Source organism: Homo sapiens, chromosome 16 (genome assembly GCF_000001405.40).
Source record: "Homo sapiens chromosome 16, GRCh38.p14 Primary Assembly".
Classification (NCBI taxonomy): Eukaryota; Metazoa; Chordata; class Mammalia; order Primates; family Hominidae; genus Homo; species Homo sapiens.
In genome coordinates, this window is record NC_000016.10 from 3,766,817 (window position 1) to 3,781,742 (window position 14,926).

General features: G+C 45.0%; 1 protein-coding gene across 10 annotated transcripts in view, besides 1 other annotated feature; it reads right to left on the reverse strand.

Annotated features, from left to right (window-relative positions):
• Positions 1 to 14,926, reverse strand: part of CREBBP (CREB binding lysine acetyltransferase) — a 155,660-nt gene that overhangs the window by 41,763 nt on the left and 98,971 nt on the right. For 5 of the 10 annotated variants that reach the window (XM_006720848.4, NM_004380.3, NM_001079846.1 and 2 more), the window contains 10 exons: positions 14,388 to 14,490; positions 13,916 to 14,062; positions 11,884 to 12,001; positions 11,195 to 11,366; positions 10,797 to 10,841; positions 7,753 to 7,877; positions 6,935 to 7,114; positions 3,754 to 4,170; positions 2,358 to 2,537; positions 904 to 1,093 (listed from right to left, as the gene is read on the reverse strand). In XM_006720848.4, the coding sequence (XP_006720911.1) occupies positions 904 to 1,093; positions 2,358 to 2,537; positions 3,754 to 4,170; positions 6,935 to 7,114; positions 7,753 to 7,877; positions 10,797 to 10,841; positions 11,195 to 11,366; positions 11,884 to 12,001; positions 13,916 to 14,062; positions 14,388 to 14,490 (1,677 nt within the window). The remainder of the gene's footprint in view (positions 1 to 903; positions 1,094 to 2,357; positions 2,538 to 3,753; positions 4,171 to 6,934; positions 7,115 to 7,752; positions 7,878 to 10,796; positions 10,842 to 11,194; positions 11,367 to 11,883; positions 12,002 to 13,915; positions 14,063 to 14,387; positions 14,491 to 14,926) is intronic. The other 5 variants (XM_047433625.1, XM_005255124.5, XM_017022944.2 and 2 more) reach the window with 4 other exon arrangements.
• Positions 13,995 to 14,054: an enhancer, noted in NCBI's record as "active region_10333". NCBI's record gives its function as "activates an Ori minimal core promoter by ATAC-STARR-seq in GM12878 lymphoblastoid cells {active_cell/tissue: GM12878}" and the evidence as "EXISTENCE:reporter gene assay evidence [ECO:0000049][PMID:35858748]".

Below are 14,926 nucleotides of genomic sequence, written 5' to 3' on the forward strand. Positions count from 1 at the left end.
GTACTCAAATTTCTCAACTTTAGTTTCCAGTAGAGTAAGCAATGATAGATAATCCACACAACAACTCTCTGGGGCCCTCAATTTCTAAGAGTATAAAGAGCCCTGAGATTCACTGTACTCCACACTCTCCAGGGTCCCTTCCAGCTGCAGAGTAACATGGTCTCAGTCTCTAACATTTCTCTGCAATCTTTCCCAAAAGTGTCATCTGCAGCCTTGGACTTTCTGAGTCCTGTCTCCCATTTCTAAGGTTCACTTGACAATTTTCTGATACCCTGTTATCTCTTTACTGTGGATACATCTCAAATGGATTCCATCCAACTTCCACTGTGAGGCGGGCTTACCTCACACATCTCAGACCCCAAAGATGCCTAACCTACCCCTCCCCCATGTCTCACTACACAGGGTCCCTAGGCGCCACCCTGCCCCTCACTCTGCATGCTCAGCTTCCTCACTGCACCTGCAGAAACCTTCTGCCTCCAAGTCACCCTGTGCTGTCATAATGACCATCTTCCTTAAATTATGGCTTTTTTGGTTATTCTCCTACTCACATACATCACTGGTTCTTTATACTTTTATGAGTAAAGCCAAGCTCCTTAACCTGCTCAAGGACCCAGACACATTTCAACTCGGCCCCTGCCAGCACCATCAGAAGACAGCTCTGCAGCCTGGGTGCCCTCGGAGCAGCAGCTCATCTCTCACTCCTGCCATGAGCCCCACAGGCACAGGGCAGGGGTCCTGCTCAGCCTGAGTGTTTCTGCAGGGGAAAGTCTGGGGAATGGCAGGCAAGAAAGGTAAAAGGGCAGATAGAATTATGTTTCTACTTTAGCTTTTAATCCTCCACATGGAATCCTAACACCGTGGAAAAGCAGCATGCTTTAATAAGGTAATGAATAAATGGCCTACTTTTTTTGCGCGGCTGCGAAGGAGATGTTGACTGAGAGGCTGTGCCGTTACTGCTACTCTCTTCTTCCTCTTTAACTTCTACTTTCACTTCAGGTTTCTTTTCATCCACTTCCATTGGTTCTGATTTCTGCTCTGCTATGTCTGTTTCTTCTTTAACTTGGGAAGCTCCTTGCAAATCCTCCTCCATCATCTTGAGAAAAACATTACAGATAACATATGAATATCAAACACCTTTATGTTACCGCAACCTCACGGGAAGACTCTTACAAGCCTAAAACAGGTTTGTTAAAACCTTCCTCTAGTCAGAGTTGCATTTATGATTCCTCTTCTCTTCCGGAAGAAGAAATAAAGTACTTGGTGTTCATTAAGTCGCTTCAGCACAGAGTCAGTGCAATTATGGTCCTAAATTTAAAAGTGTTTTTTTTTTTTTTTTTTTTTTTTTTTTTTTTTGAGACAGAGTCTAACACCCAGGCTGGAGTGCAATGGCAAGATCTTGGCTCACTGCAACCTCCCCCTCCTGGGTTCTAGCAATTCTCCTGCCTCAGCCTCCCGAGTAGCTGGGATTACACGTGTGTGCCACCACACTCGGCTAATTTTTTATATTCTTGGTAGATATGGGGTTTCATCATGTTGGCGAGGCTGGTCTCGAACTCCTGACCTCAAGTGATCCACCTGCCTCGGCCTCCCAAAGTGCTGGGATTACAGGTGTGAGCCACAGCTCCCAGCCTAATTTAAAAGTTTTTAAATGTAAAACTGCTTTAAAAATTGCACATACTCAGATTTTTCACTACAGATATTTCTAATTTGGAATAAAAATCTCCTTGAAAGTTGGGGCAGGGACCAAAAGTCCTTCTCAGAGGCAGGTGTGGTATGAGACAGGAAGGAGCAGTGGGGACTGTGGCTAATTGGAGAGCCCACTACAGTTGGTGCTCACAACCAGACTGCTGTCACACAGGGATGCAGGCACAATGCTGAAAGCATCTCATTTTTCAAGAAAAGCCAGAAATCTAGAGTTTTATTTGCAATTTCCTGATTTTTAAGGTATTGTGTGGGCCAAACACATTTAGAGGCTGGATCCAGCCCACGGTCTGCCAGCTTTCAGCTTCTGCCATAGGTTAATTAGTAAATGAATCCACCACCCCTTCTGTAGTCTACCTCTGCAGAACTAGAAATGAATGGAGAACATAAAATAAAAGGCTGTTGGATGATTCAAGTATTTCAAATATAAGCCAGTATTCTTCATTTCGGGCAAAATAAACCCACCCCTCATATTTAAAAATGAAAAACCAAGCTGTTTTCAATCAATTTCCTATACACCAAACCCCGAACCCACATTCAAACAGAATATTTTAACTAAAGTCAGGGATACCCATGGCAGGCTCCAAGCCTCGCCCGAGGACACCTGGGTAAAGTTGCGATACGCAGTCAATGCATTCCTAGGGAGCGGCACCCACCTCAGACCTGGGCTCCCCTTTGGATTCACCAGGATCGGGCTCAGTGTCCTCTGCTTGGGTCTCCGTCTTCATTTCCAGCACAGGTACGTCAGGTCCTGGCTGCTGGGAATTGGTTTCTGCGCTGGCCACCGAGGAGGGGGTAGGGACTCTGTTATCAATGCTGGCTGCTGCCTGGGAAAGCTGTGAAAAAACCGAAAGCACTGACTTCAGTAAGCAAGGTAACATAAATGATCTTCAACTATGCTGCTCATGCAACCTACAATTTCCCATTAACATTTCTCAATACTGATCCAGCAGGTGCCCTTCTGTGAAACCGAAGAACAGGGGTTAAAGTAGGAATGAGTTCTAGAGGGAGGTAACAGCAGCCAGAGGTACAACTCAGGTCTTGCCACAAAGGCAGAGGAAACAGCAGAGCTTTTCAAACTTTGACATAAATTTATTTTCTCGAAGTTTTCTAGCTAAATCATGAAATCTCATATTTTGAAATTAATTCCCTTCAATATGGTGGTTAATGTGTATGGTAAAAGGCTGAATTATGAATGCCTAAGCACATCTGAAGGGAGGGAAATCAAGTGCCTACCCAAAGACAGTGTTACCCAGCCTGTGTGAACGGTAGGAACACGGGTGCTGGTGGAGTAAATGAACATTACACGAAGGAACCACTAAAAGAATTCCTAATTTGCAAATTCTTACTCAATGGAATTTTTTTTTTTTTGAGACGGAGTCTCACTCTGTCACCTAGGCTGGAGTACAATGGCGCAATCTCGGCTCGATACAATTTCTGCCTCCCAGGCTCAAGCGATTCTCCCGCCTCAGCCTCCCGAGTAGCTGGGAATACAGGCACCAGCCATCATGCCCGGCTAATTTTTATATTTTTGTAGAGACAAGGTTTCACAACTTTGGCCAGGCTGGTCTCGAACTCCTGAGCTCCGGTGATCCGCCTGCCTCAGCCTCCCAAAGTAGTGGGATTACAGGCGTGAACCACCGCGCCCAGCCTCAATGGAGTTTTAAGTAAACAAACAAAAGATGACAATGTCTCGCTCTGTTGCCCAGGCTGGAGTACAGTGGCGTGATCTTGGCTCACTGTAACCTGTACCTCCTAGGCTCAAGTGATCTTCCCACCTAAGCCTTCTGAGTGGCTGGGACTACAGGACTACAGGCACACACCACCATGCTTGTCTGGTTAAAAAAAATTTTTTTTTGCTGGAGACGAGGTCTCACTATGTTGCCCAGGATGGTCTTGAACTCATGGGCTCAAGTGATTCTCCCACCTTGGCCTCCCAAGGTGCTGAAATTATAGGTGTGAACCACCGCGCCTGGCCTGACACACAATTTTTATGGGAAAATTATCTTCTAAGAGTCTTGGCCCAAAAACAGCAGAGACAGAGAGGCTTACCGGTGTGCCAGGAGGCTGGGCGTGCACAGGCGTCGGCTGTTGCTGCGATGACTGAGGGGTAGCCACAGACGGGGGCTGAACTGGGGTTTGAGGCTGCGGGGTCACCTGGGCCTGGGCTGCTGCCTGGACTGTAGGGGTGCTCTGGGTTTGGGTAGCACTGGGCACTGAGCCAGGAGTCGGGGTGGGAGTCTGCCCGGAAGACGACACAGGAGTTGATGGCTGAGTGGGAGCTGCTGGCTGGGGAGGAGTCATCCCAGGTGGTGTCGTGTGCTGGAGAGATGGCATGCCAGCAGCCGTGGAAGCAGGAGGCGGTGTTGGGTGCAGTGGTGACTGTGTCACTGGAGGGCAAGGTAGCTGGCTGGCCTGAGGCCCCAGCATGTTGAGAGGGTTAGGAAGAGCAGCACCAGGCACCTGTCCCTACCAGAAATGGACAGAGTATGGTAAAATTATTTCCCCCGTTTGAAAATGTGATGAAACATTTGAAAAATTAAATGTATGAAAAAAAAATTTTTTTTTTTGAGACAGTTTCACTCTTGTCGCCCAGGCTGCAATGCAATGGTGCGATCTCGGCTCACTGCAGCCTCCGCCTCCTGGGTTCAAGCAATTCTCCTGTCTCAGCTTCTCGAGTAGCAGGGATTACAGGTGCCCGTCACCACGCCCAGCTAATTTTTCTGTTTTTAGTAGAGATCGGGTTTTGCCATGTTGTCCAGGCTGGTCTCAAACTCCTGACCTCAAGTGATCCTCCCGCCTCGGCCTTCCAAAGTGCTGGGATTACAGGCGTGAGCCACCGCGCCCAGCCAAATGTATGGGAATTTAATCACATTTTCTTGGGAGTGTTCTGCTTGTGAAAATTCATCGAGCTATACACTTGTAATGGGCACTCCTCAATAACGGTAAAACTACACACGTTTCTTATAGTCTGATTTATATAATTAAAACAACCATTGAAACTTATGGCTTAAACACACACATCTACAGCAGTCCCCTCATATCCACTCGGATACATTCCAAGACCCCCAGTCTTGGAACGCCTGAAACTGCGGATAGTACTGAACCCAATATTTACCAAGATTTTTGGATCTGACAACCAAGGTGGACACTCAGTGACTAAGAGGTGGGTAGTGTCTACAGTGTGGAAATGCTGGACAAATAAATGATTCACATCCCTGGGGGCACAGAGTGGGATGGTGACAGAATTCATCATGCAACTTGGAATGGCACTCAATTTAAAACTTTTTTTTTTTTTTTTTAAAAAAAAAAAGACAGAGTCTCGCTCTGTCACCCAGTCTGGAGTGCAATGGCATGATCTTGGCTCACTGCAACCTCCATCTCCCGGGTTCCAGTGATTCTCCTGCCTCAGCCTCCTCAGTAGCTGGGATTACAGGCGTGCAATACCATGCCTAGCTAATTAATTTAAAATTTATGAATTGTTTATTCCCAGAATTTCCCATTTAATATTTTTGGACCACAGTTGACCCCAGGTAACTGAAACCTCAGAAAGTGAAATGACAGATTGGGGGAGCTACTGTACATTGACCCAGCCTATAAGCTTCATGTTCTATAACATGTACCCAATGTTCTTTAACATTTTCTAAGCTTAGCTTAGAAAAAGGTATTTTTTTTTTAAGTTGCTTCTTCCCTGGGGACTATAAAATAAATAAATAAAAATAAGAATAAAAGTTATTGACCATAAATATATACATCCATAAGTACCCTTAACAATTAAAAATTTAAAAAAAAAATTCTCTCTGAAACACAAACACACACACACACACACACACACACACACACACACACGTTAGTTACTGAAAGAGAACTGTTTCAGTGCAGTGGTTCTATACTGGGGATACACTTCAGAATTATTTGTGAACATTTTAAAAATGATTCTGAATCACTGTTCTAGAGCAGGGGTTGGCAATCTCCCAGGGCAAACACACTGAGCTGCTTGTTTCTGTAAATAAAGCTTTATTGGCACACAGCCACCTCATTTATGTACCACAGCAGCTTCTGCACTACAAGAACAGAAGTGATGAAAACCAAGATTGAATGGCCTGCAAAGCTGAAAATATTTAGTATCTGGCCCTTTACACGAAGTTTGCTAATCCTTGTTCTAGAGAAATGAAATGTTATGGAAAGTTAAGAATAATCATTTAGTGAGGAAATCTAATATATAATAATGACTTATGCAGCATTATTTCACATTAAAAACTCAAAACAAGGCTGGGTACGGTAGCTTACTCCTGTAATCCCAGCACTTTGGGAGGCCGAGGTGGGTGGATCACCTGAGGTCAGGAGATCGAGATCAGCCTGGCCAACATGGTGAAATCCCGTCTCTACTAAAAATACAAAAAAAAAAAAAAAAAAAAAAATTAGCTGGGTGTGGTGGCGGGCATCTGTAACCCCAGGTACTTGGCAGGCTTAGGCAGGAGAATCGCTTGAACCCGGGAGGCGGAGGTTGCAGAGCCGAGATTGTACCACTGCACTCCAGTCTGGGCAACAAAACGAGACCCTGTCTTAAAACAGACAAACAAACAAAAAAAAACTTAAAACAAGAATTTTATCTTTTAGGGAGGATTTGGTGTGTTTTAAATACATGTATATTTTGTATACAGTAGCAATGATACGCACTACAACTAACAAAAGAGGAAAAAAGGAAGGAATAAATGGAAAATCAATTTCTTCAGCTCTAGATTGAGAAATTAAAAACATTTAACAAGAAGGGAACTATTGAAATGATTCTGTTAGCTTGATTTCACCTGGCAGTGGAGACAGGTCAAAAGAAACAAAAGCCAAATCATCAAGAGTGAATTCATGGGTCCTTCTCACTCGCTTTTTAAAATCCTAATGCCTCTCAGGGTCACGTTAAAGTTAGAATTTAAAATACACAAACAAAAAATAAGAAAACAAAAACTCAAAGATCAAAACACAAAAGCATACAAACCAAAAATTCTAAATCCATTCCCACTTTTGCATATAGTTAACCCAGAAAGGATAAGAGAAATTCCAAACGAGTTAAGGACTACAGGACAAAGGTGGAGAAAACAAAGAGAAGCTGATACAAAGACATGAAATGTGCATTCTGGAATTTTAATTTCCACGAAGGAAGACAGAAAAAAAAAACCAAAACTTAACACAAGAATTTTATTTCCTAGGGAGCCACGGTCCCAGTGGGGCACAGTACCTGTGACACGCCTGTTTGGGCTGGCGGCTGCCCCATGCCCACACTCATCGCCCCGCTGGATGACGGGAACTGGTTCTGTGGCAGAAACTGGCTCTGAGCGGGCGCCTGGGCCATCATGTTGTTGGTGTGTGCACCCATCATGTTCGGAGGCTGAGGCATTCGGGAAGGAGAAATGGCCATCTACGAGACAACAAGCACCACCAGAGCTGTAGTTCGGAAGCTGACGGCCAGAGTTTTCAAGGTGAGCCAGAATGATCCAAGGCTTCACAACCCCAGAGGATGGCAAGCACAGGGCTCACATCCTGCCCTTCCTCATGGGAAGAGACCACCACTTGCTAAGAACTCCCGCGCTCCTGGGCACCTTACACACTTTCTCAGGCAATCTCTCAAATGAGCCAGCTTCAAAATGTCCTCTGAATAGAAATCAATAGCAGGCTATAATTTAAAGTTTAAGACATGCCTATGAGTTCTCTAAAGTGTTTAGAAAGCAGCCTCGGAACAGCGAGCTCTCAGTCAACAGATGCTGACAATTCCCTGCTGGCCACATATCTGAGGCTGCCTTCTCCAGCCTTGGAACTCCCACATTCTCACAAAGCCACACATTCCTATGAATTTGTTATTCCAATAAAATAACTAACAGTCAAATAATTCTGTGTAGTAATAATTTTTTTAAAATGAGAGATGAAAGAAATAAAGCATAACCCAAATTCAAAGGAACAAGAACCACAGGATTCTCAAGTGACATGAATTCTGCTGCTTAGATAATGTTCCATGTGAGAGGGAGGGCTATCTGCAGCACAGCGAAAGAGAACACTTACCCCTGGCACTGAGCCCATGCTGTTCATCTGGACAGAGTGGTTCATTGGGGAGGCTGCACGAGGTCCCATGGGTGCTTGTGGCAACTGGACGTTCCCCAAGGACATGGGGTTAAATGAATTCATCCCTGTAAATGTACCCACAACGGTTCATTAGGAAAAGCACCCACAGGAAAACAGAATTACAACTTGCTAAATAAACTCTTAAGTAAAATAAGATGGAACGCACAGGCAACAGAAAACTGAAAAGAAATCACCCAATTAATCAATGAAGATGATGAAGGAACAGACTTCTCCATATCCAGAGAAAACGGCATCAATGTGGGGGTGGTGACGGTGGCATGGTGAGGGGTACCAGGGAAGGACGAGGACATGAAGGCATAAGGTTGGGTAAGACAGGAACAAGTGAGACATTAAACGAGGCTGTGGTAGAGCTGAGCCAGAGGGCACAGTACCAAAGTGTCATAGCAACAAAGAGGGTGAGGAGGTGCCCTGAAAGGACAGCACCCTCACAAGCTACAGAAGAGATGTTTCCAGAGACCAGGGCAAGCTTCTGTGCACACCCATACCTAATGCCTCTGGAGCAGCTGACGCCCATCATCCGAGGATTCCCAGCTCCTTGCTGGGTTTACATTCATTGTTAGAATCTGTGCTAAGTCTCCAAATGTTCTTTTAATTTTGCAAGCACCTTAAGCATTAAGAAGTGCCCAAGGGTCAGCCGTCCTCAACCTTAGCCTCCTGTAGTTTACAGGAACACCACATCACTGAAAGACACTTCACAGCCAGTAAGTGTCTCCAGACTGCGGTGTCTAGTTCCTTCCAATTTCCAATAATACTCTGTAAACTCTGAGTTCTAAAGAAGCACCAGTTCAAATTAGTCTTAGGACCAACACTAGAATCTGACAGAACCCTTTAGAGAATTTCTGGAAGGTGCTGCCTTAGCGCTGCTGTAGTCATGAGAAGGCTCAAAGGATGACTCACGGAGCACTACCTTCAATGGCTACCTAGAAATGGTACCCTCAAATAACGGAGTGCCGATGCAGACCAGGAAGACTTTCCAGGGAGTCTATAATGTAAGCTTCCCCACTCCTTGAGAATTTTTTTAAACAAAATGAAAAACAATTACTAAGGAACAGCACTTAAAGAAATCTGTATTTACCCAGATGTGCTGGTAGGGAGGTTGCTAAGTGCATAACTAGAAAACATCTATTCCAATATTCTGCTGGTAAACAGCAGGGGCATCATACCCCACACCAGCAGCATCTTCCTATCCAGGCTGAAGTCCTGGACCAATCCCCAACACAGCATCCAGCCACTTTCCCAAGGCTCAATTTCTCTGACTCCTTGATTTCTTTCTTTTTTTTTTTTGAGATGAGATTTCGCTCTTGTTGCCCAGGCTGGAGTGCAGTGGTGTGATCTCAACTCACTGCAGCCTCCGCCTCCTGGGTTCAAGCAATTCTCCTGCCTCAGCCTCCCGCGTAGCTGGGATTACAGGTGTGCACCACCATGCCTGGCTAAATTTTGTATTTTTAATAGAGACGGGGGTTTCACCATGTTGGCTAGGCTGGTCTCAAACTCCTGACCTCAAGTGATCCTCCTGCTTCGGCCTCCCAAAGTGCTGGGATTACAGGTGTGAGCCACTGTGCCCAGCCTGACTCCTTGATTTCTTTCAAAAATCAAAGCCTGAGCAAAGCCTCTTTCCTTAGAGTCTTCTGGATAATGTCACCACCTTGTTTCACAACCTGGAAAAATGTCCTCCTGCTTGGGTCTCAATGGTCAAGAGCTACAGGGTTTTCAAATGCTCCCTGCCCCAAAATAAAAATCACTGCTTCAACCAACCAAAAACCAGAGGCTCTCTACTTAAGAACCTTTCAAGGTTGTTGAGACAGCTGCTGACACCCCAACCTGGCACAGGACCTGTGTGTACACTCTCTCCAGAAGTTGACATCCAGCCAGCTGGGCTTAACCCCTAGGGCCAAGAGCAGCCCGTGCCGTCCCCATTTCAGCCTCTGCAAGTGCTCAGCAGTCTAGGACTGTCTTGCATGCTTCTCCTTCTCAGCATTCAGAAGCACTCCCTCCCCACATCTAGGGTGCTTCTTTCTCGGACTCTTCCTAAGAGTAACGTACCACACCCCCTTCACCATCCATTAAAAAAATAAAAAGCTGGCCGGGTGCAGTGGCTCATGCCTGTAATCCCAGCACTTTGGAAGGCCAAGGTGGGCAGATCACAAGTTCACGCGATTGAGACCATCCTGGCTAACATGGTGAAACCCCATCTCTACTAAAAAAAAAGATACAAAAAATTAGCTGGGCGTGGTGGCAGGTGCCTGTAGTCTCAGCTACTATGGAGGCTGAGGCAGGAGAATGGCATGAACCCGGGAGGCGGAGCTTGCAGTGAGCCCAGATCGTGCCACTGCACTCCAGCCTGGGCAACAAAGTAAGGCTCTGTCTCAAAAAAATAAAAGAAAAGAAAATAAAGTAAAATAAAAAGCTAAGGCCGGGTGCAGTGGCTCACTCCTGTAATCCCAGCACTTTGGGAGGCTGAGGTGGACGGATCACGGAGATCAAGACCATCCTGGCTAACACGGTGAAACCCCGTCTCTATTAAAAATACAAAAAATTAGCCACGCGTGGTGGTGGGCGCCTGTAGTCCCAGCTACTCAGGAGGCTGAGGCAGGAGAATGGTGTGAACCCAGGAGGCGGAGCTTGCAGTGAGCCAAGATGGAGCCACTGCACTCCAGCCTGGGCGACAGAGCGAGACTCCATCTCAAAAAAATAAAAATAAAATAAAATAAAATAGAAATAAATAAATAAATAAATAGCTAAATACTGCTTCTTATCTCTTGGAAGATCTTTCCTATAATCTCCAAACTTCATACTATAAACATATCCATACTACCTGTAGAACTGAATTCTGCTTATCAGCAAAAAGGAATGGAAAGAAGAAAGGGTTAGAAAGAAATATACAGGGGGAGAGGAAAAAACAGTGAAAGTTATGGCTGTTGAATGTAAAACTAAAATATGATTCACCACAAACAGTTCAATACCTTGAGAAACTTGCATGCGATTCACTGGCAGGGACAGGGGTCCATCTATGGTGGCAAAACAAAAACAAAAACAAAACCACCCTAGTTATTTAATATAATCCTTGATTCAGGAATAGGAAATTTCTTATTAGGACTTCAAACTTAAAAGGGAAAACAGCCAATAGGTCCAAAAGCACGTGTGTTCCAATGCCAGCGCACCCTGTAAAGGGCCTTCCCAAGAGAGAAACTCAGTGTCCCAACACAGCCTGAGGCAGGTGGTCAGGGCCACTGCCACATCAACAGCTTCTGCAGGGCATGCATCAGATATTCTAATTCTCTGTTCTTAGAAATACACCCCAAACACGAAGGAAAACCAAGGAAACAGGCTAAGGGATGGCAGTAGGAAATAAAATCCTTACTTGGAGGTCTCACAGGTTGTGCCTGTGGAATCACAGGGGGCTGAGCCCCCGGGGCTGGTAAGGCTGGCTGGTTCCCCAAGATGCCTTGTTTATGTAAACGCGACCTCCGTTTTTCTTCTAGTTCTTTTTGTATCTTGTAGATTTTCTCTGCTAATAAGTGATAATATTCATCCTAAAAAGCAATAATATTCAATATGAAACAGTTAAAACTGTAAAAAGCAACTGAATGATCTGTGTTGTAGGTTCTAACTAATGAACTTCCTCATTGAGTACACTGGCAAAAGTAGTATGCAAATACCTGATACACCAGAAGCCCACATTCTTGCTGAATTCCCAATGACTTTATAGGACATATCAAATAGTAGGTACTTAATACATGTTCCATTTCATTCAAATGAACTTCTTGAATATTCACTGATGCTAACAATATTACAACACCACCTACTATGAAAAATATATCCCATGGATATAATGTAAATTTATATACTCCATGCACCAATGTAGCTAATCAAGAGAGTTCTGCAGGAGATTTGTGTCTTATCTGGGAAGTCTCCTTGGTCAGTGGCCTCAAGGGGAGGAGTCTGTCCCAACTACATAGATTCCACTATTTCCAGATAACAAAGCAGACAAATGTAGTGCTGTCTACTACAGATGCTGTAGAGGCCAGAGCACGGTAAACAGCAACCTACCCTGCTGTTGGCAGACTCGTACATGTCCCCTTCCACTTTCTTAGCATAGGCTACCAGGTTTTCCATGCGGCGATCCTTTAGAGCTGCGGGATCAGGTGTTGGGAAGATGGCTTGGACGCTGAAAGGATAACACATCTATCAAACTACTTTTTTTTTTCTTCTTTTTTTTAAAGACATGGGGTTTCGTCCAGGCGCGGTGGCTCACGCTTGTAATCCCAGCACTTTGGGAGGCTGAGGCGGGAGAATCACCTGAGGTCAGCAGTTTGAGATCTGCCTGGCCAACGTGGTGAAATCCCGTCTCTACTAAAAATACAAAAATTAGCTGGGCATGGTGGTGGATGCCTGTAATCCCAGCTACTCGGGAGGCTGAGGCAAGAGAATTGCTTGAACCCGGGAGGCAGAGGTTGCAGTGAGCTGAGATCGTGCCATTGCACTCCAGCCTGGGCGACAGAGTCAGACTCCATACCAAAAAAAGAAGAAAAAAAAAAAAAAGACACAGGGTCTTGCTCTATCGCCCAGGCTGGAGTACAGTGGCATGATCATAGCTCACTGCAACTTTGAACTCCTGGGCTCAATGATCTTCCCACCTCAGCCTCTAAAGTAAGCTGGGAAGTACAGGTGCACACCACCATGCCTGGCTAATTTTTAAATTTTCTGTAGAGATGGAGTTTTATTATGTTGCCCCGGCTGGCCTGAACTCCTGGGCTCACATAATCCTCCCACCTCAGCCTCCCAAAGCACTGGAATTACACGTGGGGGCCACTGCACCTGGCCTGAAGCTACTTCCAATGCCATCAAATAAGCACTACAAAATCAGGATCATGTATCTCTGGTGGCAATACAGTGTGGAGAGAAATGCCAAGCCTCTCTTGCCTCGCATGTCAATACATGAATGAAGTTAACTCCCTGGAGACAATCCTGACCTATCAACTTATCTACACATCAAACACATCAATATTTTGCTATTAACAAGTATGTGCTGGGTCATTTCCAGAATAACACGATTTTCAAATCCCTAATTTTTAAACTACTTATTACTAAAAAAAATTTGATCAAAATAAGGAAGGGAAAAAACTCAAAGGGAATGTAAGTCTAGCTCATTTAAAATAACTAGCTCAACAACGTTAGGCTTGGTGTGGTGGCTCATGCCACCCAGCACTTTGGGAGGCCAAGGCAAGAGGATTACTTGAGGCCAGGAGTTTGAGACCAGCTTGGGTAACCTGGCAAGACTCCGTCTCTCTCTCTCAACAACAACAACAACAAAAAGGCCGGGTGCGGTGGCTCATAACCCCAGCACTTCGGGAGGCTGAGGTGGACGGATCACTTGAGGTCAGGAGTTTGAGACCAGCCTGGCCAGCGTGGTGAAACCCTGTCTCTACCAAAAACACAAAAAGTAGCTGGGGGTGGTGGCACGTGCTTGTAATCCCAGGTACTCGGGAGGCTGAGGCAGGAGAATCACTTGAACCTGGGAGGCGGAGGTTGCAGTGAGCTAAGACTGTGCCACTGCACTCCAGTCTAAGCAACAGAGCGAGACTCTGTCTCAAAAAAAAAAAAAAAAAAAAAAGTTAACTGTTAACTTTCCGTTATGTTAACTAACTGTAAGGTGATAATGACATGCCATCTATACTCTAAACTTTTCCAATTCTGAGGGGTCTCCACAACTAGAATCTGGAACTACAAAATAAGGTGAGGCTCTTGAGCTAACCCCAGCCCCCTCACGCAGCCTAAAGTGCAGAAGCACATTAAGGCCGGGCTGCACTGAGGGTCTTTGCCTCGGTGATAGGGGCTGCAAGTCAGTGCCCCTCGGCAGTACAGAGCCACCAATGCTCTCTTTGTCACCCCCGCTCACCGAGGACATAGAGTGTGGGAATCTCTGGCCTGCCTAGGGCTGCCAGAACTCTACCAGCAGTGAGAGTGGCTCCCTAAATAAGCACGTGACTTGTATAGGCTCCTAGGGTACTGTCATCTGGTAGCCAATGGGCAACACAGGAATAAAATCAAACATCTATGAAACTGCAAAACTGTTACGTACAGTTTATGCACTAGATGGCTCCGCAGGTCCTGAGTGACATGTTCGTGCCAGCCTTTCCTTACACCGGTGCTAGAAGGAGGAGCTGCTGTTGGTATAGTGCTGAGGGTTCCAATGTTACCAGAGTTGGAGCCATCGTTCATCAGTGGGCTAAGGAGGAAATAAAGACACTTCATCCATCTACTGAAGTGACTCAAACACACTTTGTCTAGTAAGGTTCTTCTGCCACCACATGTGACTTTTAAAAGTTTAAGTCAGGAGAGCCAAGTGATGTAAATAAATAAAACTTAAACTATGTTTTAATCTATTATCTGCTCTACATTTATAATTAAAGAAAAAAAGGAAAACAGCATTCACCCCTCACCACCCCATTTAAACTATTTTCTCTGCCACACATTTAGAAAGAATCAGTTTTGTGTGGTTCTCAGTCCATGCTCCTGTTGGACTGTCACTCAGATCTGAAACAGGGTCTTACTTTGTGGCCCCCAGGGAAGTCGGAAGAGCTGATTCTGAAATCAAGTTTGGGGGCTGCTGATCTGTTGTTATTCCTCCTGCTGGAATGTTCATTGGATTATTTCCTTTAAAGACAGAAAAGAAATCAATCAACAGTTAAATTTTAATATATACTTCAAAGTTTTGATGACAGATAACCAACATGCCACCATATAAACAATTGGTGGTTATTTAAATAAGTGATTCTGGCCAGTTATAGTAAGCACTGCGGCAGGAACTCTGAGTGTCATATTTTCAATAATGGTAATCAACGTGCACAAATAATCAGTAGACACCCTCCCCACTCTACTTTGTAACCAAAGTAAGGTGTGTTTATGGAGGTTAGCTGCTATCTAAGTGAAAAAGTTATAAATGACCCACATGCAGCCTCTTACTTTCATTCTGCTTCATTAGTATCGCTCCTGAGTGACTCAGCTGCACTGACACACACCTCTGTGTCTCCACCCCCAATATCAGAAAATAAAATCATAGAAATTAAGCTCAGGAAAAAAATATAGAGGT